General features: G+C 41.9%; 1 protein-coding gene, 1 long non-coding RNA gene and 1 other non-coding gene across 6 annotated transcripts in view; 1 reads left to right on the top strand and 2 right to left on the bottom strand.

The window, feature by feature from the left end:
• GNG12-AS1 (GNG12, DIRAS3 and WLS antisense RNA 1) overlaps positions 1-24,056 on the top strand; it is a 370,700-nt gene that overhangs the window by 331,169 nt on the left and 15,475 nt on the right. The window lies entirely within an intron of this gene.
• The window catches only part of WLS (Wnt ligand secretion mediator), a 134,088-nt gene that overhangs the window by 64,998 nt on the left and 45,034 nt on the right, over positions 1-24,056 (bottom strand). The window lies entirely within an intron of this gene.
• MIR1262 (microRNA 1262) lies at positions 20,062-20,154 on the bottom strand. Its single transcript, NR_031664.1, has one exon. It is a non-coding gene; the product is annotated as a microRNA 1262 (primary transcript).

A 24,056-nucleotide genomic window follows, 5' to 3' on the forward strand; every position in this document is an offset into this window, starting at 1 on the left:
TGGCTCCCTTTTCGGTCCCTCGCTCCTCCGGGCCGCTCCCGAGCCACCTTAAAATGACGCTCGCACACAGGGACACACAACACAAAAACTTAATCTCTCCAGCTCCCCACCACTCCCCCTCCCTCCCTCCGCTACCCCGCTCTCCCCACCCTACCCCTCCAGAGAAGTCTTAATGAGGAAAAAAAAAAAAAAAGCACAAATCACATTTCCAAAATGACTGGAGATCCTGCCACCACTAGGGTTATGAAAATGGGCACAATTTTAGGCTCTGGCTATTCAGCCTTGAAGAAGTCTCAGTATCCAGGCACCTGAGTTTGCTCCATACCCACCTCCTCCAGGGCTGCGACAAGGATTAAAAGTCAAGTTAGTGAAAGCACTGCATGCTGCCTCATATGCAGTAGGTGCTTAATAAATGTTTACTAAACCTGAACACATACAAATCACAAGGGAAACAGATAGGAATAACTGCCCTCTGAAAAGCAGGGCTTTTCTACGGTGGCTTAAAGCTGACATGGCAGCATGGCAGATCCCTGGTTCTCAGAAGAAATCTCGGAAAAGGAAGAGATGATCCATGGAAGAAGGAATTTGAGGCCATTCTGATATAGAGGAAACCCTCGATGAACATCAGTACCCACTATTCTATTATTCCTATTTTTATCCTCAGTTAAACATAGTGAATTAGCCACTGTGTTTTCCTCCTGAAATTCCACAAAATAAAGACAAAGACAGTAAAAAGAAAAGCAAAAGATATTAAATCACAAGGGGAAAAAACTAACTGTAGACACATGAGCAGACAAGAGATTTCATTTTTTTTTTTTTAAGACAGAGTTTTGCTCTTGTTACCCAGGCTGGAGTGCAATGGCATGATCTCGGCTCACTGCAACCTCTGCCTCCCGGGTTCAAGCAATTCTCCTGCCTCAGCCTCCTGAGTAGCTGGGATTACAGGCGTGCACCACCATGCCTGGCTAATTTTGTATTTTTAGCAGAGTCAGGGTTTATCCATGGTGGTCAGGCTGGTCTTGAACTCCTGACCTCAGGTGATCCGCCTGCCTCAGCTTCCCAAAGTGTTGGGATCACAGGCGTGAACCACTGTGCCTGGCCTCAAAATTTTTTTAAAACATAAAAAATACATGAAGTAGGGTTTCCTGGCAGCCACAGCCTACACTCCTATAGAGGGGATATTCTAGAAAAGTGAGCCAACATATCTGCAGGAACCTGAAGCCACTCAGAATTTGAAAGTACCAGGGGTTGCAGAAGGCAGAACAAAGCATGGCACTGACAATGGGGTGACTGGGTCAAAGTCTGCACACAAAACTGCTGGACCTCAGTTCTCCCACATCTTCCCATCTGTGCAAGATCCAAGGAGAGACTCTGGACTTGAGGACACCAGGGGAATATGTAGACCCAGGGCTGGAGGTGGAGAAGAGCAAGAGTCTGTAGAAGAAACTGTGCCACTCCCAGCTTGGCAGAAACAATGTTCAGAGTTGGTATCTCCCCTTGGTCAGGGACCAAGCTGGCTACAACTTCTCCCCACTTAGTAGCCTCAGTGGTCAACAGAAAGAATCAGTCAGAGCTCCCATGGAGTCAAATCTTAGGCAATAAAGTACATCCTACTTATAACGCTGGGAGTAGGAATTGGGACTTTAAACTGTGTTGAAAAGGGTGCTTGGAGAAACACAAGAGTATAAATATGAAAAGCTGTAAAAAATGTCATCAGCTCACACACAGGTTACAAATTACTCACAGGTTGTTCTCCTTGGAGCCATAGGGTTCAGAGCAACACTAGCCTTAGACACAGGCAAGAGGGGCCTTTGAAGTTTGGGCCCCACACTTTTAAAGGGTCCCACACTTTTAAAGGGTCCCACTCTGTCAACTGTTCCCTTCTTTATAGGACAAGAAGACTCCCAAGTGAAGGGGATATATATACCCAGAGCCTACAGACCCCCTCACTTCTAGACCACGCTCCGAGATGTCAGACTCCAGAACATTCTGCCTAGACAGCTCTGAACTCTTATCTTACTTCCAAGGTCTGTGTGGCCTCTTTCCAGGTCTGGCTTCCCAAGAAGAACTAGACAACCACCTGTATACTCTTGGATGTTCGGTGGGGGTGGGAGTGAAAAGGCTGCTATTTGTTGGAAGATATGAACAGAGCTTGAGCTCGGAGGTTAGGGTGTCCATGTAGAAGCACGCAAGGCCCCTCTCTTTATGGGATGGAGCCAGCGGTGGGGAGAAAAGGGGTGTAGGGGCCCACACTTCCTGACCAGTCACATTTTGGCACAGAATTCCAAGTCGTCCATGAGTCCTCAATTCGAACCTGGCCATCCTGTTCATTATGCAAGTAACTCATCATCAGAGGATGCAACGTACTTGGCTTAACAGTTTGCTGGCCTGATTTATCACTTCTAAATATTTAGACACATGATAGGCATGCCTTCATTCATACTGTTTCCCCAAGCCAGACAAATGTTTGTAGTGGGCCTGGTTCAGAGCAGGTGCCTCACAGAGACAAGGCTAGATAGGATTGCTTCCTTGCCTGGTCCCAGCTTCAAAAGTTATTCTAATCTGTTGAGGATCCTCAAAGGAAAAACTATTTTAAAATATGCGGTTTAAAATGAAAATTGTGCACAGTATTTTAATGTACAATTACTCCATGTTAAGCTCCTGTGGTTTCTGTGCTTTAAATTACCTCATTTAATGTTCCCAACAATTCCATGAAGTGGACAGAATATTTTATTTTAATTAATGAGTAAAGTGATGCCCTCAGATCTTAAGGAACTTGTATAAAGTCATTGAAATTGCCTTAAAATAAAATCACTTTTTTGGTATTGCTTAAAGAAAACTGGCTAACTTGTGATAGAAGAAGCCCCTCAAAGCAGTCACACAATATGAATATGCTAAGTCTTTAATAATAGCAACAGCTCTCCTTCATCAGAGGCTAACATGCACCAGCCTTCTTCAGGCCTCACATCCATCCTGGGAGGAAGACGTTATATAAATTGCCCAAGAACATATGGCTAGTAAACAGCAGAGCTCAAGTCTGGATCACGTAAGGGCCCCACTGCACTCTACTACCTTTGCTGGTGAAAACAAACAAACACAGTAGAATTCAAAAGAAGCTAACAGCTGAATCAAGCATACTTGGTCAAAGAGCCACTCAACACAAACTAAATACCTTTCCAGCTTTCTACAGGAGAGAAACAGGCAATGTTCCTGGGAGGCTGCAAGTATGGCTCATAAGAATGTCTGGAATTATCTAATCTAAGCTTTCTAAAGCCATCTATTGTTGGCTGTTAAAATTATAGCATGTTCTGCCGTCTCTTCACGTTACCATCTCCTTACTTCCCGTGCAATCTGAAGCAGAGGTGTTATTCCTGTTTATGAGGTGAAGACGCCATAACTCAGAAAGCCCTACCCTAGAAATACCAGACTCAGGACCCTAGAGCTTCATAGCCAATAGTCTCATAGCATCCTGCCATCTTTTATGATGTACATAAAAAAATAGAAATCACAGGGAGAATGGCCTGTTCAAGTGACCTTTACTAGACTGTGATATCACTCCTCACCCCCAGACAGATAGCACACATGAGGTAGCACAGGTCAATCTTAGCAGACCTGGTTCCTTACCTGTTAGGATAAGACTTAACGCCTAGAATTTCATGATTATTACACTAGTTACTGCATGAAAAATGCTCAAGACAGAGCAGAAAGCATGAAGGGTAAGGTATTGTTGTTGACATTTTATTAGGGAAGTGAAACTCTTATCCTTAATTCAAAATAATTACCAGGTTTCAGGAACATGGAGCTTCCCACTATGAATCCCTAATCCAAACCTAGATCACAAAACCCAGAAACGGGAAAGCACTGGACAGAGGAATACAGTAAAACTGCGAAGCTGGTTACCTGAATTGTTTTCTCTTCTGCCTCCAGTGGACTTGGAAATAAAGTTCAGCATTAATGATGATGTTGCATTTAATAAAACACTGGTTTCATGACTCCTGGGATACTGTGTGGGCAATACTTCCCCTCCACCCTCCAGAGATAATGAAGGCGAGGAATCCAATTTGAACTCCCTGGGAGAATGGCAGGAAGGCTAAGCTACATTTGGCACTATATTAGAACTTTCCCTATAAAACAAGGACACTGGTTATATCAGTTTCATGGGGGTACAGTTGTAAGGTATCAGCATAGGGCATTTATAGATTTGAAATCCATGGTTTTCCATACCTATACTATACCAGCAGCTTTGGTATAGAAGCCCATAGGTCCTATGGGCTAGCCAAGCTTCACATTTCTCAAATAGCTTTGGAGACATATTTTAGTTGGGTGGAGAATTCATTCAGAGGAGGAAGGGAAGTGTGGAAAGGCACTGTCGTTCGTTACACTTACTATTTCCATCCTGTTATGGGGGCAGTTTCCCCTATGCTCCAGGGTTCCATAGGAGCAGACCTAGACTGCAAAGTGTGGTTACAGACAGAAAGATCCATGCCTTTCCATGTTGGGAAGCATCAACTAATTGTATCCTTAGGAAGTCTGTCTCTATACCAGTTATACTGCCCTGCCCTGCTTGAGAAAAGCAAAGCCAATCAGTTTTTCTGCAGGCAAGTGGAAAGTCAGAGAGGAGGGCAAGTACCTTCTATAAGCCAGAAATGGTGGGAGGGGGGTGCTAGAAATCGCTAGGAAAGAGGTCTAGTGTCCCCAAGAAATCTAGGGCAGCTGCTTAATGTAAGAATGGTCCCTGGGGTGGGAATGTGGGGAGAAGGAAAAGCAATGAAAAGGCCACTAGAGCCTTAATTGAGGAAGACATCAGAATGCTTGTCACCTAAGCTCTACACCTTCTATATTTGAAACAGGTATTTCCCAGCCAGGATAGTACAAAGTGTATAAATTGGGCACCAAATGGATGTGATTTTGAATTCTCCTTTTATGACTTCCCACCTGAACAACCTTGAATAAGTCTCAGTTTCCACCTTTGCAGTATGGAAACAGTGGGAACTACTCCCTAAGTCTGTTAACCAATACCAGTTCCTTCTCCATCTAGTCCCAGGGTGGCTGGGTTATATTGTTGACCTATTAACTGGAATAAAAGGGGAAAAAGGAGAGGACAAGATATATTAGAGGAAATCAGGAATGATTTTATGGTTGTCAAAAGCTTTTAGGTTCCTAGAGACACTTTGACTTTCCTGGGCCTTTGCCCTGGGAAAAAAATTAAAGAGGTTTCAATGCTCGTGTGCATTCCCACATTACATAGGGGAGCTGCCAGTCACCAGAGTTTGTTTGGGTAACCTCAGAAAGAGGCCACAGAGACAAATCTCCTCCCAGCCTCTGGCAGACATATAATCTGGAGTTATTTATGCCAGCATTCCTTCCCCAATAAAAAACTCTCTGACCTGGCTTGAATTTTTCTTGACGCTTTCAATTAAGGAAATAACAAAACCAACCCTGTCTTATACATGGTTAGGTCTGGCAAAAATGGACTCAGCTAATTACAAATTTGGCCCTGGCGGTTTTCTTAAGATGCCCTACAGGCCTGGGTGTGAGTGGTTATAAAAATGAATGAGTACAATTATTTTGCAAACCAGCCTAACAGTTTAGTTCACATTGCTTCTCGTCTTTCCTCATCAAATCAAGCATTTGAATTGCAGAGAATTATCTTCCACATGTAAGAAAACATATTTCTAAGCATTGCAAAACTGGTTCCTTGCTGTATTCTGATGCATTATCATCTGGTTGAAGTCACATATCTGTCTATGGAACATGACAAGGACAAGGGAGAACGGTGCTCACATTAGGTTCTCTTCAAAGTGACATGCAGTTAGAAAACATCCACTTACCCCTATTGTAGCCAAGGCTACTAGTACTTAAATGCTATACCACTGAAAAAGTAAGTGGAGACATCAATTTTTTTAAATAAATGAATCTGAAGTACCACCGAATATAGAAAAAAACCATATCTATTGTTCACCAGGTTGGAGAGTAGCTCTTTCCTCATCTAACTCAACACGTTCACCCTGAAGGATTTCATCTGCTCCTGGGATGCAAGTCACCCTCTCCAGTCCAGATTTCCCTCTTGATATTTGAATTTGCATGCTCACTTTTCACCAGTCTCTCCTCTTTCATGGTTTAGAAATGCAAACCACCAAATTTGGTCAACTCTACTAGGTGTCTTTCAGATTTAGCCTCCTCTCCTCACTGATATGCCGCTTGTTCAGGCCACCATTATCTCCAGCCTCCATGACTAAAACACCTGCCCTGTTCCTGTCTAATTTTCACACTTCCTGCTACAGAAATGATTTCTAAAACACTTTCAATGCCTTTATATTGTCTTCAGTGTGATATTAAGACTCCTTAAATGGCATAATTGGCTAAGGTGTTATGTAGCAGCCTAGGTTCTAGTTCTATGAACGTTCACTACCCCTTCTACCTAGGTTGGCCACTTCAAATACAGCCCCTCTCCTCTCCAGCCTTGGAAGATGAGTAAGAGCTCAGCTTTGGAGACAGACAGGCTGGGACCACAGCCCACCTTAGCTACTTGGTGCCTATGCAATGTTGGGAGTCACTAAATGTCTCTATCTGTAAGATGAGGATAATGGTAATGGTAATGCCCTTCTCCTATCACTGTGAGGAGTAAATGAGATAATGGGTGCCAAGCACTCAGCACAGGCCTGGCATATAGTAAGCACTCAGTCAATGCTGGCTACTATTTCTTTTTTTTTTTTTTTTTTTTTTGAGATGGAGTTTCGCTCTTCTTGCCCAGGCTGGAGTGCAATGGCACGATCTCCGCTCACTGCAACCTTCGCCTCCTGGGTTCAAGCGATTCTCCTGCCTCAGCCTCCTGAGTAACTGGGATTACATGCATGGGCCACCATGCCTGGCTAATTTTTTTGTATTTTTAGTAGAGACGGGGTTTCTCCATGTTGGTCAGGCTGGTCTTGAACTCCCAACCTCAGGTGATCCACCCGCCTCGGACTCCCAAAGTGTTGGGATTACAGGTGTGAGCCACCGCGCTCGGCCGCTGGCTGCTATTTCAAGGCTAGTACTCAAGGTTATCTACACCTGCTGTACTCAGGGTCCCCATAATCACACCAAATTTTATGAAGAGATGCCTCCTTTGAGAGGGTAAATTACAAAAGGCTTCTTTATCTGGGCTGCAGACAGTGCTTGGCATCCCCGCTCGTGCCAGACTCCTACTCATCTTCTGGAATTCCCCCCAGATTTACTCTTGCCTTCTTTTACTCACCCAAACTCAATATGGCACCCCCCCCTTGCTCCCACAGTACCTTGTTCACCCAGCAATATGACACTTATGACACTTATTCTCCATGTTGCTTCTCCTGACTACTTATCCCCATCTCTCTCCCTACCCATCTCCTATTTAGGCTGGGTTCCTAAAAGCCAGGGACTGACTCAGTCTTGTTCACAGTTATATCACTCATGTCTTTGCACAATAGATATTCATTGAATATTTACCAAATTAATGATTATCATCCTTCTTTCTCCAAATAACTCTTACAAACCTAAATTTCCTGTCACTCTACCATCAAACAAGTGGTTTGCTCTATATTTTGGTGACATTCATACTTTCTTTCTCCATCACCTGCCTTTTTACTTCTACTCCCCCCAAACCCCTGCACACACACCCCTGAAATCCCTGTGCTAGATGGACCATCCAACTCTATTTTTGTTTCCACCAAATATTTTTGAGCACCTACTGGTGTCCTCGCACAAGATTGGATGTAAAGCCTAAAACCATAAAAACCCTAGAAGACAACCTAGGCAATACCATTCAGGACATAGGCATGGGCAAAGACTTCATGACTAAAACACCAAAAGCAATGGCAACAAAAGCCAAAATTGACAAATGGGATCTAATTAAACTAAACAGCTTCTGCACAGCAAAAGAAACTATCATCAGAGTAAATAGGCAACTACAGAATGGGAGAAAATTTTTGCAGTCTATCCATCTGGCAAAGGGCTAATATCCAGAATCTACAAGGAATTTAAATTTACAAGAAAAAAAAACAAAAAACCCCATCAAAAAGTGGGTGAAGGATATGAACAGCCACTTCGCAAAAGAAGATTCTAATGCAGCCAACAAACGTGAAAAAAAGCTCATCATCACTGGTCATCAGAGAAATGCAAATCAAAACCACAATGAGATACCATCTCATGCCAGTTAGAATGGCGATCATTGAAAAGTCAGGAGACAACAGATGCTGGAGAGGATGTGGAGAAATAGGAACACTTTTACACTGTTGGTAAGAGTGTAAATTAGTTCAACCATTGTGGAAGACAGTGTGGCGATTCCTCAAGGATCTAGAACCAGAAATACCATTTGAACTAGTAATCCCATTACTGGGTATATACCCAAAGGATTATAAATCATTCTACTATAAAGACACATGCACACGTATGTTTATTGTGGCACTATTCACAATAGCAAAGACTTGGAACCAACTCAAATGCCCAGCAATGATAGACTGGATAAAGAAAATGTGCCACATATACACCATGGAATACTATGCAGCCATAACAAAGGATGAGTTCATGTCCTTTGTAGGGACATGGATGAAGCTGGAAACCATCATTCTCAGCAAACTAACACAGGAACAGAAAACCAAACACCACATGTTCTCACTCATAAGTGGGAGTTGAACAATGAGAACACATGGACACAGGGAGGGGAACATCACACCTGGGCCTGTTGAGGGGTGGGGGGATGGGGGAGGGATAGTATTAGGAGAAATACCTAATGTAGATGACGGGTTGATGGGTACAGCAAACCACCATGGCACATGTATACCTATGTAACAAACCTGCACATTCTGCACATGTATCCCAGAACTTAAAGTATAATTAAAAAAAAAAAATACTCAGAGAAGTTCCAAATGCTGTATATAAATAAATACAAATCTTATATAGAAATAGGATTTGGAACTATATACATGTATATAAACATAAAAATGTATGTTTATATATGTCTATAAAGAGTGAAACAATTAAACTTCTTCTATAAAAAAAAGAGTAGGGATAAAAAGGCATATAAGGCAAAGTCATTGCCCTCAAATTGTTTACAGTAAAGTGGTGAAGGCAGGTATATAAATAAGTATAATTCCATGTAGTTTGTACTGCATTAGAAGTATATATGAAGTATACAGTCAGCACAAAAAGATCAAGAGTTCTGAGTAGAAGGTCAAGAATTGTAGCACAGAAGACACAATCTTCTGGCTCACCCTACTGAGAAGAGGTGATATTTACCAATGAATTGCAGAATAGGAGTTCACTAGGCAGCGAGATAGGAAAAGGCATTACAGGCAGAGGAAGCCCCATGTATAAAAAGTCACATAAGCACAAAATAGCAGGGAAAGCAACTAATTCAATATGGCAGGGAATGTGAGAGGGACTGGAGGGAACAGGGAAGGCTAGAGAACAGGAAGGGTCTAATGACAAAGGGAAGAAGCTTGCCCTGAGTGCTGCAGCATTTTGCTTAGAGGATGTTAAAGCAAAGGAGGAGATTCTGGCAGCTGTGCGGAAGACGGACTGGGATGGGGGGCCAGGTAGACAAAGAGACATCCTAAGGAAACTGAGGCCCACTGCTAACACAGTTCTCAGTGTGCTTAAGACGATTTAACCTTGTGGAAAATACTGCCAGGAGGATATTTTCTAAGGAATTTGTTTACCAAAGAATCTGAACCCAATGATGAACCAATCTTTCGCTAACAAAGCTAGAGAACTCAGAACCATCTAAGTTAGCAAGTGTTAAAACACTGGAAAGCAAATGTGGCAACAGCACTTTCCTATTTGACCATAATCAACATCAATGTGGAAAGAAAACAAACCTGAAAGCAAGTGAGGAAAACACACAGTGGGTTTCTTTGCTTTCTCTCCAGGACACTGTCAGTACACAGAGCATTTAGAATAGCTGATTTGATCGTTGTGAAAATCTACCTGCGTGCCCCTCTCTCTCTCTCTCTCTCTCTGAATGCAATTAGAGAAGACAGCTTCATTCACACTGTGTCTAAAAATAGATGATGGCAGAGTTCACAGACTGACAGCTGCATTGTCATACAGTAACCAGGAAAGGAAAGGGATGGCTAATTTAACTTAACAACTTCCAAAACAAACAGTGCAGAGGGAGTCCAGGATAAAGAAAAAACACACAGGTCAGTTCTTCAAAGAGCTGGCAGAGGGATGGGGTCGCTCCATGGCAGTTTATTAGTCCTCCCAAAATCCTGACGAAACCAGCTAAGTATTTTGCCCAGATCTACCCAGAGTCCTTCAGACAAGAGCTCTGGCAGATGAACCGCTACAGAGATTCAGGCAATATTAGGCAGCAGGGCCAGGACTTTCCCTGCTGACTTCTTCATACATCCCCTGGACACAAGTAAGCTAAGAAGAGTCATGACGTTTTTCTAGGCAAGATAAATAAATGAGTTTTTTCCCCCTTTGCCATATCTAAATTATACTCTGCCTAGCCTGGGGCATTTAAAAAAAAGTTATCCAGGAAATAAACATGCATCATTAAGGGGCAGAAACCAGGTGTCTAAAAGAAGCAAACCATTTCTTTCCCTCCCTTCAGTCCTAAAATGTTTTCTGTTTTCCTCCTCAGTCTGCCTTGCCCAGGGAAGGGATTACGGTTGGGCTTCAAAAGAAACAAGGGAATAATGCCTGTGGACGGGTAGCAGATTCTCTCTGCAGCTCTCCCGCAGCTCCATGTTGGCTCTCAGCGCTGCTGCCAGCCAGCTAAATGTCAGATCACGGCACCCCAACATTCCCTCACTGCATACCTCCATCGCCCTGGTGACTAAGCTGTTTCAACAGCTGTGTTATTGCTGGAGTCAGGCCAGTGTTATTCACACGAAGTATTTGTTTCATACGGCTTATGTGGGGAATTATTGCACTCAGCTTTGGGGTTCTATTTAAAGATAAGGTCCTTCCCTTGATCAATCAGCCAGGACATTCCTCGAGTTGGGCTCCAGGAGACAGTGGGACAATATTCTACTGCCACCCGGGGTTCCAGATAATGGACAGATTCATAATACTATAAAGAAGGTGGATGAAGCATATGTGTGTGTGAGAGAATGGGAAGCATAATGGAAAACCATGACCCTTGGTGGAGCTGCGGAAGAACTCTGCTGCTCCTCCCTCAATAAAAGCCACCCACAACACAAGAGTGTTAAGCTGGACTCCCTTTCTGCTCTTCTTCTCCAGCCATCACCCTCAGCCTTTCCCTTAAAATCATTGCTCTTTCCTTTCGGGTCACGCTAGCACTGTTGCGTTGGTCTCTACATGCATCACTCCACACACCTGCCCCGAATGCCATCTCCTCCCTCAGCCCTTGGCTTCTCCTATCTCATCAAATGGTTTATGACCATTGATGTTCCTATCATGTAGGAAGCAAGTTGGGCCTGTTGGCCTGGTGACCTCCTCCACTACTCCACATCCTCTTCTGAGTGTGAGTAAGATAAGGGCTGTGTTACTAACTGCTGAGTTAATCAACCCAAACTCCCTTATATGGAGGGACAACTGGGAAAAGGAAAAGGCATTACATCCATGAGCTTTATGTCCTGTAGGTGGGACTAATTTCTATTTCTAGCTCATTCTAGGCTGAATCTCCATCAAAGAGGCCTACTGGCCTGTTCTCCCTCCAAAGTTGTTCTCACCAAGAGCAATCGGGCACCATTTTCTGATGCTGAAAAGATCTCAGAAATATGTTTTCTTATAAATGAAGTATTTTTAAAAGAAATAAAACAATGATTCCTAAGAGCTCACATTTTTTACTGCCTACTATGTGTAGACATTTTCACCCATGCAGATGCCAGCCAGATGGAAACCATCACAGGCAATTTCAAAGTGAGGAAACTGAGGCCCATGGCCATGCTACCAATGTGAGAGGGAGGCAAAATGAGAACCCAGGTTTGCCTGACTCAGCAGCTCAAGTACTTTCCCCTTATGTCTCTCAGTCATGGGGTAGGAAAGTTAGGACACCCGCTTCTTGCTCTAAAAAGGCCACTATTTAGCCAAACAATTTGAGTAAGTCACTTTACATAATGTATTATTTCATGAAATACTACAGTTGGATCATAGGCTTACTAAGATCCTTTCTAGTTCTAATATTTCATGAATGTAGAAATCTAAAACACCTCCAGCTGTTGACTGCCTTCTATACTTAAGGCACTGAGGCCAAAACAAAGAGCTATAAAACCATGCCTGTCCTCAGGGCACTTATAATGGAGTTTGAGTGACAAAGGATAACAAGTTGAGTTTGACTAATGGAAGAGTTAAACAATTAACAAATACAAAAATACCAGAGAACCAGACTACAGGGCAGTGCTTGAGAAATAACACCGCATACCAGCATGACTATACAAGGAGAAAAGTAGATTTCAACAATGGTAACACCCCTAACCCGGAAAATACATTTGTGCTGCCAGCAGAAAGAAAAGAAGAGACAGAAAACGCTTGCAGGAAAAGCCAGCTACTAGAAGGGATCCCGTCTGTTTCACAGGAAAGCTTTGTTTCTGACAAGTTTCGTAAAGGAAAAAGTAGGCTAGAACAAGCTTTTTTATTTCCAACCCACCTTTTCTTCGTTCCCATGAATGAGGAGGGGATACAAATGAGAGCAGGCAGCCAGGGACAAAAATAATATGGCTGGTGGTTCCTGACCTCTTGGATTCCTGCCAACAGAGAAGCCTGAGAGGCAACATTTAATTGTGGAAAAACCAGCCTGGCTCTCCTCTTATCTTTTTCCTCTGTGACTTAAACCCACAATTACTGGCAACCCCTAGATTCCGAGTCACCCAGCTGGTGGTGGCAGCAATGGCTGTGTCTGTAGCTGAAAAGCAAAAGGGAGTCAGATTTTACCTGCCTCCGAAGCCAGCCCTGGGAGCACAGCCCTAACCCAGCTTGATGACTTCTCCCATTAAAAGGTTCACAGATGCCCTCCCGTTGGGAAAACCACCAAGTGAGAAGTCCAGATGGGAAAAAAAGAAACACGATTTTCAGCTGCTGTATAATTCAAAGGACAAGCTACGAGTCTCAAATCCTGAATTCCACATTTTATTTCAGCACTAGAGATGTGATGTTCAATTCCTTTTCTTAAGAAACAAACTCCAAATTTCTTAGCTGGTCATCAAGGCAACTCACCTACCAGGCCCTCTGTCTTTCAGCAGCTCATCTTTTTTCTCTAATATGGACACTTTTCTACAGCCCAACAAATGGGCTTACCGTCCTTTGCACATATGTTATTTCAGAGCATTTCATGATAGAAAAATATGGTCTTAGTCCTCACTTTCTCACCTAGAAATCACTTTGAAGAAGTCACTTAACTTCCATAATTTCATACTTGTTTAAATTTAAAACTTTTTCTCCAGTAACAGCCTCACAGAGGACAGTAGAGATTTAACCTTGAACATCTAGCATTGAGCCTGCAGAGGAGATGCATAATCAACGTTTCCTTCTCTATACCTAATGCCTTTGCTGAGTTACCTTCATCCAAAAGAATGTTCCCATTGCTAACTCTTGTCCTGATCTTTTCTTACCACTCTTCCACTCCAAGAGGTTGTCTCCCATACACCTCTGCTCCCATCTTAATATTCTTCCATTTCAAAATATTTTAATTTACATGCTGCTATGTTTATAGTCAAATATAATTAAATCATGCCTGTGGGCACATTCTCCTAAGGATGCTAAGAATTTTCCACATCTTCTATTTTAGGACTTTATCCAATTGCTTCAGTGCTGATCAGCATGCATTTTGGTACTCATGGGGCATACCCTCATCGGGATTCATAAACCTCTGAATTCCATGGGTGAGCTTCAGGGCTTCCATTGAAATATGAATACTAAATGTGCAAATGGGGTCTATGCATATTTGTCTCCCAAGGTTAAAGTCCTTGACCTGAAGTTAATAACCACTGTCCGGAAGTAATGAAAGGCCTGTGGCTAACATCCATGGACGGGGTCCTTTTTCTGAACACTCAGCCCTGCCACCTATGTTTCTGGGCTTCTATGCTCTCTCTGGAACACAATTCCTCCTTTCTATTCAAGTCCGAGAATAATAACTACTCACTCTTATTTATTTATTTAGAGACAGAATCTCAACCAGGCAGGAGGGCAGTGGCGCAACCTTCTGGGCCCAAGCAGTCCTCCTACCTCAGCCTCCCAAGCAGCTGGGACTACAGGGGCACACCACCACATCCTGATAATTTTTGTATTTTTTGTAGAGACAGGGTTTCACCATGTTGCTCAGGCTGGTCTCGAACTCCTGGGATCAAGAGATCTGCCCTCCTGGGCCTCCCAAAGTGCTGGGATTACAGGTGTGAGCCACTGCGCCCAGCCAACTATTCACTTATATTGAGCATTTACTATATGTATCCAGCACTTACTATGTAAAAGCCTCACATACACTATTCTAGTTTAATCCTTACAACAACCCTATAAAGGTAGTACTACTATTCTATTTTATAAGTGAGGAAAATGAAGTACAAGGAAGTTTCAAAAACTTCCTTGCCAAGGGTCTCATAATTTATAAGCAGCAGGCCAAACATTCATAATTTATGATTCAGCCCAAACACTCTGGCTTGAAAGTACTTAACCCAGTGCTGGAGTTGTCTCTCCAAGCTCTTTCACTTTCCAGAAAAAAATAAGACTGCCCTTGGACTGTTTCTTTGCCTTCACATTGTAAGTGATCACAGATTCCAACGCCTTTAAAACTCCACCTTTGACTCAATCAAAACATTTCCTTTTCCGTGAGTTAATCATTTCCCCTTCTATGTTTATGGACTCCTTTGGGTACTTAATGCACTGAACACACTGGTGTAATTTTTTAATTCTCTCTCCATGAATTAGACTGTGAGCTCCTAATTATTTTGAGTACACATGGAATATTTACTGTGCCTGGAATTGTGCTAAGGATATAACAATGAACAACACAGTGTCCCTGCCTTTAAATAATTCACTCTTAGGCCAGGAGTGGTGGCTTACGCCTGTAATCCCAGCACTTTGGGACTTTGGGAAGCCGAGGTGGGCAGATCACAAGGTCAGGAGTTTGAGACCAGCCTGACTAACATTGTGAAACCCCGTCTATACTAAAAATACAAAATTAGCTGGGCATGGTGGCACACGCCTGTAATCCCAGCTACTCAGGAGGCTGAGACGGGAGAATCACTTGAACCCAGGAGGGGGAGGTTGCGGTGAGCCAAGATCACGCCACTGCACTCCAGCCTAAGCAACAGATCGAGACTACATTTCAAAAAAAAAAAAAAGAAAAGAAAAGAGAAAACTAAACAAAAGAGGGTTATGATGGTTTCTGAAATTGTATTATGAAGAATAAGGACTTATCTTTATTTCTTAAATCCTGAGCAAAATGCTAGCATGTAGTACAAGTCCCAATAATGCCTATCGAATGAATGAATGAAATTGGGAAAGGGTTTTCAGATACTGAACTGCTAAACTGAAAGATCTACCATCCCATCATGAAACTCTTTGAGGTTATTTATACACTGACTCACCTAAAAACTGCTTCCTGTGTTGGTGTCTATGATACATTTTTTAATGTCAGACTAAAAATACACTTCCAGTACACCAACCCTGTCTGCCTACCTAAGGAGTAGAAATGAACACAAGGTCGCATGTAACAAAAGAAAAGAAAATTCACTCATTTCAACACTAAGCTCACCCTCTAACAAGAGCATCTGTCTTGACTGAGCACTATCTTCTAGAATGGTTTTCACTTGAGGGTCTCTGAAGTCATCTATTTACAAAACCAAAGGATACCAATGAGATTTTTTATAAAGTCAGAGAATCTTAAGTGAGTCATGGACTCTCAACTTCAGAGAGTTAGAGTAGATGGGACCTTAGGGGTCGTCTAGTATAATTTCCCACTCAGAACAGGAAGCACTCCATAGCCCTGTCAATAGACTCATGGTGGGATCAAGGCACTGGAGTCCTAACATCATGTACACTCATAGCCTCTCGACTTCCCAGCTGGGAGACTGGCAAATCATGTAAACTCTGTCATCCTCAGTGTCCTCACTCTGCCAGATATAATTGTTCCGATGATCAGATGAAATAAACGTTGTCTTAATTAGCGAACATTTGTTTGCAAGTAACAGGACTTCACCCCCACTAACTTAACCAGAAATCAGCTGGAGGGATACAGGAGTGCTTTAGGAAAATCAAGGGCAGAAAATGCTGAGAAGCTGGAGGGTCTGAAACCAGGAATAGAAAGCTGTCAGGAGGAAAGTCAACTCTTATAGTCTATTGTAATTACACTAATAGTCTTCATCTCCATTTCCTCTTTGCATCTGGTCTTCCCACTCTGCCAGTCAACAATCACGGCTTCTCTGTGCACGTGTAGAATGATGACTGCCCAGGTGGCTCTCATGGCTTTTCAGTTTAAGTGCTAATAAAGGTAGATCTCGAATTACTGAAACACAATTTCTTATAAGAGAGAATTTGATTGCTTCCCCTTTGGCCAAGGGACCACTGCTAGTCTGATCAGTTATGGCTTGGGGACTGATCATATGGCCAGTTGCCCATTCAGTAGAGGTGGTGGAACATGCTGAGGGAGGGGGAAGTTAAGGCCAAGTTCAGGCCAAGCAAATGACTGACAACAAAGACAAGCAACAGCATCTCTAGTGCGATGGTACTTTGCAAAGAAAGCACTGCCCCATGCCAGCTATCACTGTGGCCATCCTTATGATCCTCACCAACCATCTTCTGCTTGACCACTACCAGTAACAGGCTGCTCACTACTGGTAGAGGCAACCTTTTCATCAGCAAACAACTTCAGCTATTAGAACTCTTTTCCATGTGACAGCAACTTAAGATACTAAACTGAAATATTTGTAATCTTCTCCCAAGCCTTAACTTTAATGAAGGCATAATCTTGCTTGTTAGGTCAAGCCTGGGCTTTTCTTTCTAGTCAAAATATGAATAATGGGCAAAGCAAGATGTTGAGGAAAAGCTGAGTGTTGGGAGGGAAACTGAGGCAGGGCTTGCATAATGTCTTTGGGAATGTGTCTAGACTTGCTGGTTCCTTACTTCTAGCCCTCATAGGCTCCTAGGCTCCTATTCCCATTATCTCAAGTAGCAGAACATGTTCCATATAAATGCTAAACCATCACAGCTGTAGATCATGTGCCTGCTCTTTTGACCTCCACATTTTCACCACCTGTTTCTTTGTTGGATTACCAATAAATAGCATGGGCTCCCAGAGCTCAGGGCCTTCACAGCCTCTGTACACTAGTGATGGCCCCCTGGTGTCCCAACTTTCTCTCTCAAACTGTCTTTTTCTCAATCCTTTGACTCTGCTGGACTTTGTCACCCCCACAACCTGGTGTTGGGTCTGATCACCCCAACACAAGAGAGATAGATTCACTATGCAATTATTTTAGCAAACAACCTGGACCAGAACAAAGCCAGAACCTCTTCTTCCTATAAAGAATTACTACTATCTCTCTACTAACACCATTACTAATGACTCACTAAAGCAAAAGAGGATCTGGAACTGTTTCTAGCATCAGTGTGTAGACAATAGGTAGGGTTGGGGAAAATGGTTTTTTCCAATGTAGAGTCCCTAGCACTTTTGCAAGCAGAATTCTGCCTTGCTCTCATTTAACTTCCTTTTGCTTAGAAAAATATAATCCAGAAAATAATCTTAACTTCATTTTTTTAAGTTAACCAAGATAAAGTTGTGAATTCCCCATAAAAGAACCTCATAATAGCTATGTTATGACCAGCTGGCATTTAAATACTGAAAGACCCAAAGTTAGAAGAGGAGGTGAAAACAAAAAAATACCTTCTATACATTGGGGGCACCATTAAGGGATGTGCTGCTTCTGGCTTCTCTGCTCTTCACATTAGTCAATGATGTCACCAGGTTTTTATTTTAGTAATCAGGATATACTTGTATGGATGCAAAGAGAATATCCTCATTTATATTCTAAACTCAGAGCAGGAAATGAGACACGTGGGTGATCTGCAGCTGTGGCACTATAAACAGGGCCAGCCTACCACCTAGTCTAGATTCTAGACTGCACTTCATTCCCTGAAATACTGATTGGGAGATTTTAAAAAATTGAAAATATATCATTTTAGAAAGACCAGTGCATCTTCTGTGCAAGGATCTTAGAGTCCGCTGTTTGGTAGAAGGCTGACTCACCTGTATGGGGTGGTGCACGTGTTGTTAGGTACCATCTACCTATCTACACCACTGATGTACAACGAGGAGATCCTGCCCTGGCTCCAGCCAGCTGTGCCACCGTGGGCGAGTACCACAGAGTTCAAGCTTTCTCCAGCTGCTAAATTAAAGGATTAGTGCTTTAACTTGGGTCAACCACCCATTTGCAAACCTGACAAGAACCACAAACACTCTTACTTCAAAAATGCATATAAGCAAATACCACTGAAATTTTATGTAGAGTATCAAGGGGTTCTCTTAGCCCTTACACTCCAGTCTAAACTGCTTGGTTGATGATTGTTAGACCAGCAGCCCTCTAGTATTCCTTTCAGCACTCCAAGCTAAAATAAAACAGCTGATGTTTAGTAACAATTTCTGCAAATTATTCAACACCATAGAAGAGTGTTTTGTTAAGACTAGAGACTAATCTAACACAATCTACTCAACAATGTTAAATTGACCAGTAACCAATAGATGACTAGAAGAAAGTGTATGTAACTAGATATACCAAACTATAGATACTAATTTTAAAATCTTGGAAAGGTTTTGGAGGAGCCCTACTGTTTCTGAATTGGAATTTTTCATTTGCAAATACTTAACAAAACCCACCAAGCCAGATAGAGCTCTATAGCGATGCCTATGGAGGAGCCTTATAATGATGTTGTCCAAGTAATGTGCTTAACAATAATCACACTCAAAGCCAAAGGTTCCCATGCTCCTGCCAATATAACATGCTCACAACGGTCAATTCCAAAGGAAGAGCTGTCAAGAAGTGCCTGAAGATTTCCTCAAAGGGAGAGATAATTCATGAGCAAACAAACATCATGTCCCTAATCTTCTCTATCCTGGGGTAAACAAAATATAGTTTTCTCCCATGATTTCAGTTGCTTTCTATACCAAGTCAGTAAGTAAAACTGATTCATACTGGTAACTTCCAGGTTCCAGCCTTGGTTTGAAGGGGCACACAATTCAATAAGAGTAAAGAAGACTGGCCATGTAAGCCCATCTTGAATACTGACAACTTCCGTACCATTTACCTAACACTACAAACCCTACTCCATTTAAGTCTCTGAGATCTTTTTGATGTATTTTGAGCTTTTCAACTTGCCTTTTTTGGTGGGAGAGGAGGGAGGAGGAGAACAAAGGGAGAATTTGAAGTTTTTATTTCTGCTTGCATTGACTCAAATTGTGGTAAAGAAACTTAAAAGGTAACTTTAAAATTCTAGTGACACTAGCCAACAATGAAAACTATCTAATTAGAATGTTAGAGGTTTTTTTTGTTTGAGACAGAGTTGCTCTGTTGCCCAGGCTGGAGTGCAGTGGTGCGATCTCGGCTTGCTGCAACCTCCACCTCCCAGGTTCAAGTGATTCTCCTGCCTCAGCCTCCCAAGTAGCTGGGATTACAGGCACACGCCACCATGCTGGGCTAATTTTTGTATAGACAGGGTTTCACCATATTGGTCAGGCTGGTCTTGAACTCCTGACCTCAGGTGATCCACCCACCTCAGCCTCCCAATGTGCTGGGATTACAGGTGTGAACCACTGTGCCCAGCCAAAATGTTAGATAGTTTTAACACAGGCTATAACATAGTCATAAATTAAAGAAGACATGGTCGTAAATGAAAGAAGACCTCTTTTTGGTGGGAGTAGTAGTAGGGGTGGGAGAGTAGAGTTATACATTTCTTCTTAGCAGTTGCTTCAACATATTTTATTAATAAGGACTATCTGCTGAAGCACAGAAATACAATTATGTGAATATCATACTACCAATGGCCTGTTCCATCATAGCAGGGATAGTTCTTATAGTGTATAAAATCCTCTGCCCCATTCAGCTCTCTTTATGGAGCTTTCCTCAGAAGCATCAGAAAACACAGAATTAAATATCACAATTCTTGTTGAAGGCCAAAAATTAGTTCCCAGAAGGATTCTTTGACTTTCATCCTTCTACAAATTCACCCATCACCATTGTAGATAATGTGAGGGGTGAATTTGTAGAAGGATGAAATTCAGAGAATTGTTTATGATCAATAGATTGTTCCCTTTATTCCAGTTGTCTTCCCTTGATGTCCACTTAACATTCCATAATAAATGGACAAATGGAAAAGCACAATTACTCTGCCAAAAGTCAGTCAACATTCTCCCAGGACACTCAGCCATCTAACTTGAAAACTGACTGGTAATAATATCATTCTAATTACTTTAACTAGAAATTTGTTATACAGAAATGCTTTCAGTGTGGGGAAAGAAAAATCACTTGCCACTTATAGAAAGAATTCTGCTTCATGTGACCATTTGCAATAATGAAACAAGTAAGACAACACTGGGTTCCAGTGTACAGCACAAGGATCAAGGCGAAACATAATGCTTTCATTACGTAAGAATAGGACTGACATTATTCTGGCTTTCCCCTACCCTTCATCATTTACCAATATTTTTTCAGTCTCAGGAATTTTTCAACCCCTGAAACTCCTAGATTTACTACTCAAGACACAGCTATCCATCTTGAGGCTTTCTGCCAATGGCTCTAGTGCTTCTATTTCAACAGCTTATAGATTTGAAAGCTGGAAAGAGAGATATGTAAACAAATTCTCTAACTTTGATCTATGCACCCAGGTTTCTCAAAAGAAGCCCTTGGAGAGTCTGGGGTATACTAAGTGTATGACTTGCAGTTGTAATCATTAGAGTGACAACCCATTTCCAGTGGGTACCGTTTTAGCCAACCCAAACCTTTCTTTTCCTAATGCATAGAGTGACTTTTTAAAAAATGGTATATTTGGGAAAGTATTTTAGAATGGCATGTTAACAAAACAAAAACACTCTAGAATATATTTTCAAATAACAGAACTTGGCCTTACCAAGAGGTCTAATACCATCAGGTAAATAATCATTTTTATCAGTGATTCATAATACATCCAGACTCTAAATGTTAAGGCTGACTTTTTTCTGACACTCTTCTCTGCCTATTCATACTCCATTTCCTAACTCCTTTAGAGTAAAAATTGAAATCCCATATCCCTAACAACTAGACAGAAGCATCATGTTTACATCCTGACAAATTCATTAATTCTGTACCTCTGAAATATTTAGCAAAAAGCCAGCACTGACTCAATCATAGATTTCCACAGACAGGTCTGTTCATATTTGTAATTGGTATTCACTGAAAGGTCAATGACTCCTGTTCCCAAGTATCTATGAGTCTCTAGATTTTCTTAATTGGCCTCTTTTCCTCAGCTCTTACAGACTATTGTTTTAAAACTACCACCATTTAGAAGTTGAACTCCGAGTGAGGGGAAAAACAAACAAACAAGCAAACAAAAAAAACACTTTTTGATTCCCACTCCACTCATAATCAACATAACACAGACTACTTCTGACCCAGGTGTGATGGAAGGAGCGGGGCACAGAGTCGGGGGAGGTTTCTCCACACACCAAGCAAGCAATCAATCACTTCCACAGCAGACATCAGCTGGGTGTCCAAAAATTCAATTTTGACACCACTTACCTGGAAATAGCATCAAGTCTCATAGGTTGAAAGCTCAGTCCCATAAGACTGCTCCCCACTTCAGATGCCCATCGAAAAAACAGGTTGTGGCCTGTTATAAATACGCGTTCCCATGACCCTCCTCCTTAGGATTGATTGATTTGCTACAGAGGCTCACAGAACTCAGGGAAACACTTAACTTATGCACGTTATAAAGGATATGACAAAGGATACACATGAACAACCAGATAAAAGATTGATAGGGTAAGGCATGTGGTATGGCAGGGATCCCTGACCCTCTGGCAGCAGACAGGTACCAGTCAGTGGCCTGTTAGGAACTGAGCCATATAGTAGGGGGTAAGAGGTGGGTGAGCAAGTATTATAGCCTGAGTTCTGCCTCCTGTCAGATCAGCTGGCATTATATTCTCATAGGAGTGGGAACCCTATTGTGAAGTATTCATGCAAGGGATCTAGGCTGCATGCTCCTTATGAGAATCTAATGCCTGATGATCTGAAGCGGAACCATTTCATACCCAAACCATCCCCCATCCCCTCATCTGTGGAAAAAGTGTCTTCCATGAAACCGGTCCCTGGTGCCCAAAAAGTTGAGGATGGCTATGATAAGGCACAGAGCATCCCTGTCCTCTCTAGGGTGCCATGCTCCGGGAACCTCTGCAAGTTCAGCTGTCTGGAAGCTCCCAGAACCCAGTCCTTTTGAGTTTTTATGGAGGCTTCATTACCTAGGCATGACTGATTACATTATTGGCCATAAGCGAGTGACTCAATCTTTAGGCCTCTTCCCTCCTGGCTGTTGGTGGGTGGGGCTGAAATTAGTTCCCCACCCTTCTAATCATGCCTTGGTCTTTCAGGTGACCATTCTGAAGCTATCTGGGAGTCCCCAGCCATCAGTTGACTCATTAGCATGCAAAGAGGCATTCCTATCACTCAGGAGATTCCAAGAATTTTAGAAGCTGTGTATCAGGAAATTTATTACTATAAAGTACCTTATAATGCCATCATTTTTCTCCCAAAGGCACTGGCTTGATTAAATTCAGAAATTAAAACAATGGCCAGCTTCTATAGTGTAAGTCAATGCTTTTCTAGTTTTCTGAGGGTTTGGAAACTCAAATCCTAGCTAAAACCTGTATCACTTTTAAATTGAAAAATTTAAAGGGAATAAACATTTAACCCCAAGTGACTAGAAGTCATTTAAAATATGTAGTACTTAGATTATTTTATCTACTCAAAGACTCTTCAAAAGTAGATGAAAACACTAACCAGATATATATTATAAACCCAAGCTTTAATTTCAGAGCCCAAACATGAAATCTCTTCTCATTGTTTGAAATCTGAAACTCATTTCAAAGACTGCCACGAAAAGTTAAAAAAAAAAAAATGGATTGGTCTTGACTTTTCCTTACATATGAAGTAATATTGTTACAGGTGAATCTCTGATAAGCAGGAAGCCATCATGTGTAATAGGATCTTGTTTGCCACACTCCCAAACTCTTCTCTGAAGTCCTGTTCATTGCTGTCAGAAAGGAATCCAAAGTAATGATAAACAATATAAAAAGTAGAGAGTCTCATGCATTCTTAATACCAAAATCAGAGAGAAATCTAGACCTGATGTGCCTGTTATACTAAAACATGTGTGTATATGTATATTGCTGAATATATATAACATAATATATATAATCTGTATAATCAATGCCTTGCTCAGTGTCCATAAGCAAAGGTAGAGAGGATAAATTTAAGGAAATGAATATTCCCACAAACACAACATGTAACTTCTCATATAATAGTTAGCAGCTGGCCAGGCATGGTAGCTCACGCCTGTAATCCCCGCATTTTGGGAGGCCGAGGCGGGCGGATCACAAGGTCAGGAGATCGAGACCATCCTGGCTAACACGGTGAAACCTCATCTCTACTAAAAATACAAAAAAATTAGCCGGGCGTGGTGGCAGGCGCCTGTAGTCCCAGCTGCTAGGGGAGGCTGAGGCAGGAGAATGGCATGAACCCGGGATCGTGCCACTGCACTCCAGCCTGGGGGACAGAGCAAGACTCCATCTCCAAAAAAAAAAAAAAAAAAAAAATTAGCAGCCAAAATGTGTTGCTGCTACTCATGAAAAGTATTTTTTGGTGTGGTTTTCTTGATAGCTCTATTAAGAAAGTTATTTTATACATTTATCAAATGAATAATTAGTGGTCCATCTTGTTAACTTTTTAGTATGCCCCCTATTAAGTGCTAGTTCTCATGTTATAAGAAAATTAAGGATTATTTTTAAGTCAGAAAGCTTGAGTACAGTATTTTTGTAGATGAAGATAAAATATTTTAAAGCATGAAGATGTACATGAGAAAAAAATAAGACATTAATATTTATATATAGAAATGTT

The sequence above is a fragment of the Homo sapiens genome, chromosome 1 (assembly GCF_000001405.40).
Source record: "Homo sapiens chromosome 1, GRCh38.p14 Primary Assembly".
Taxonomy (NCBI): Eukaryota; Metazoa; Chordata; class Mammalia; order Primates; family Hominidae; genus Homo; species Homo sapiens.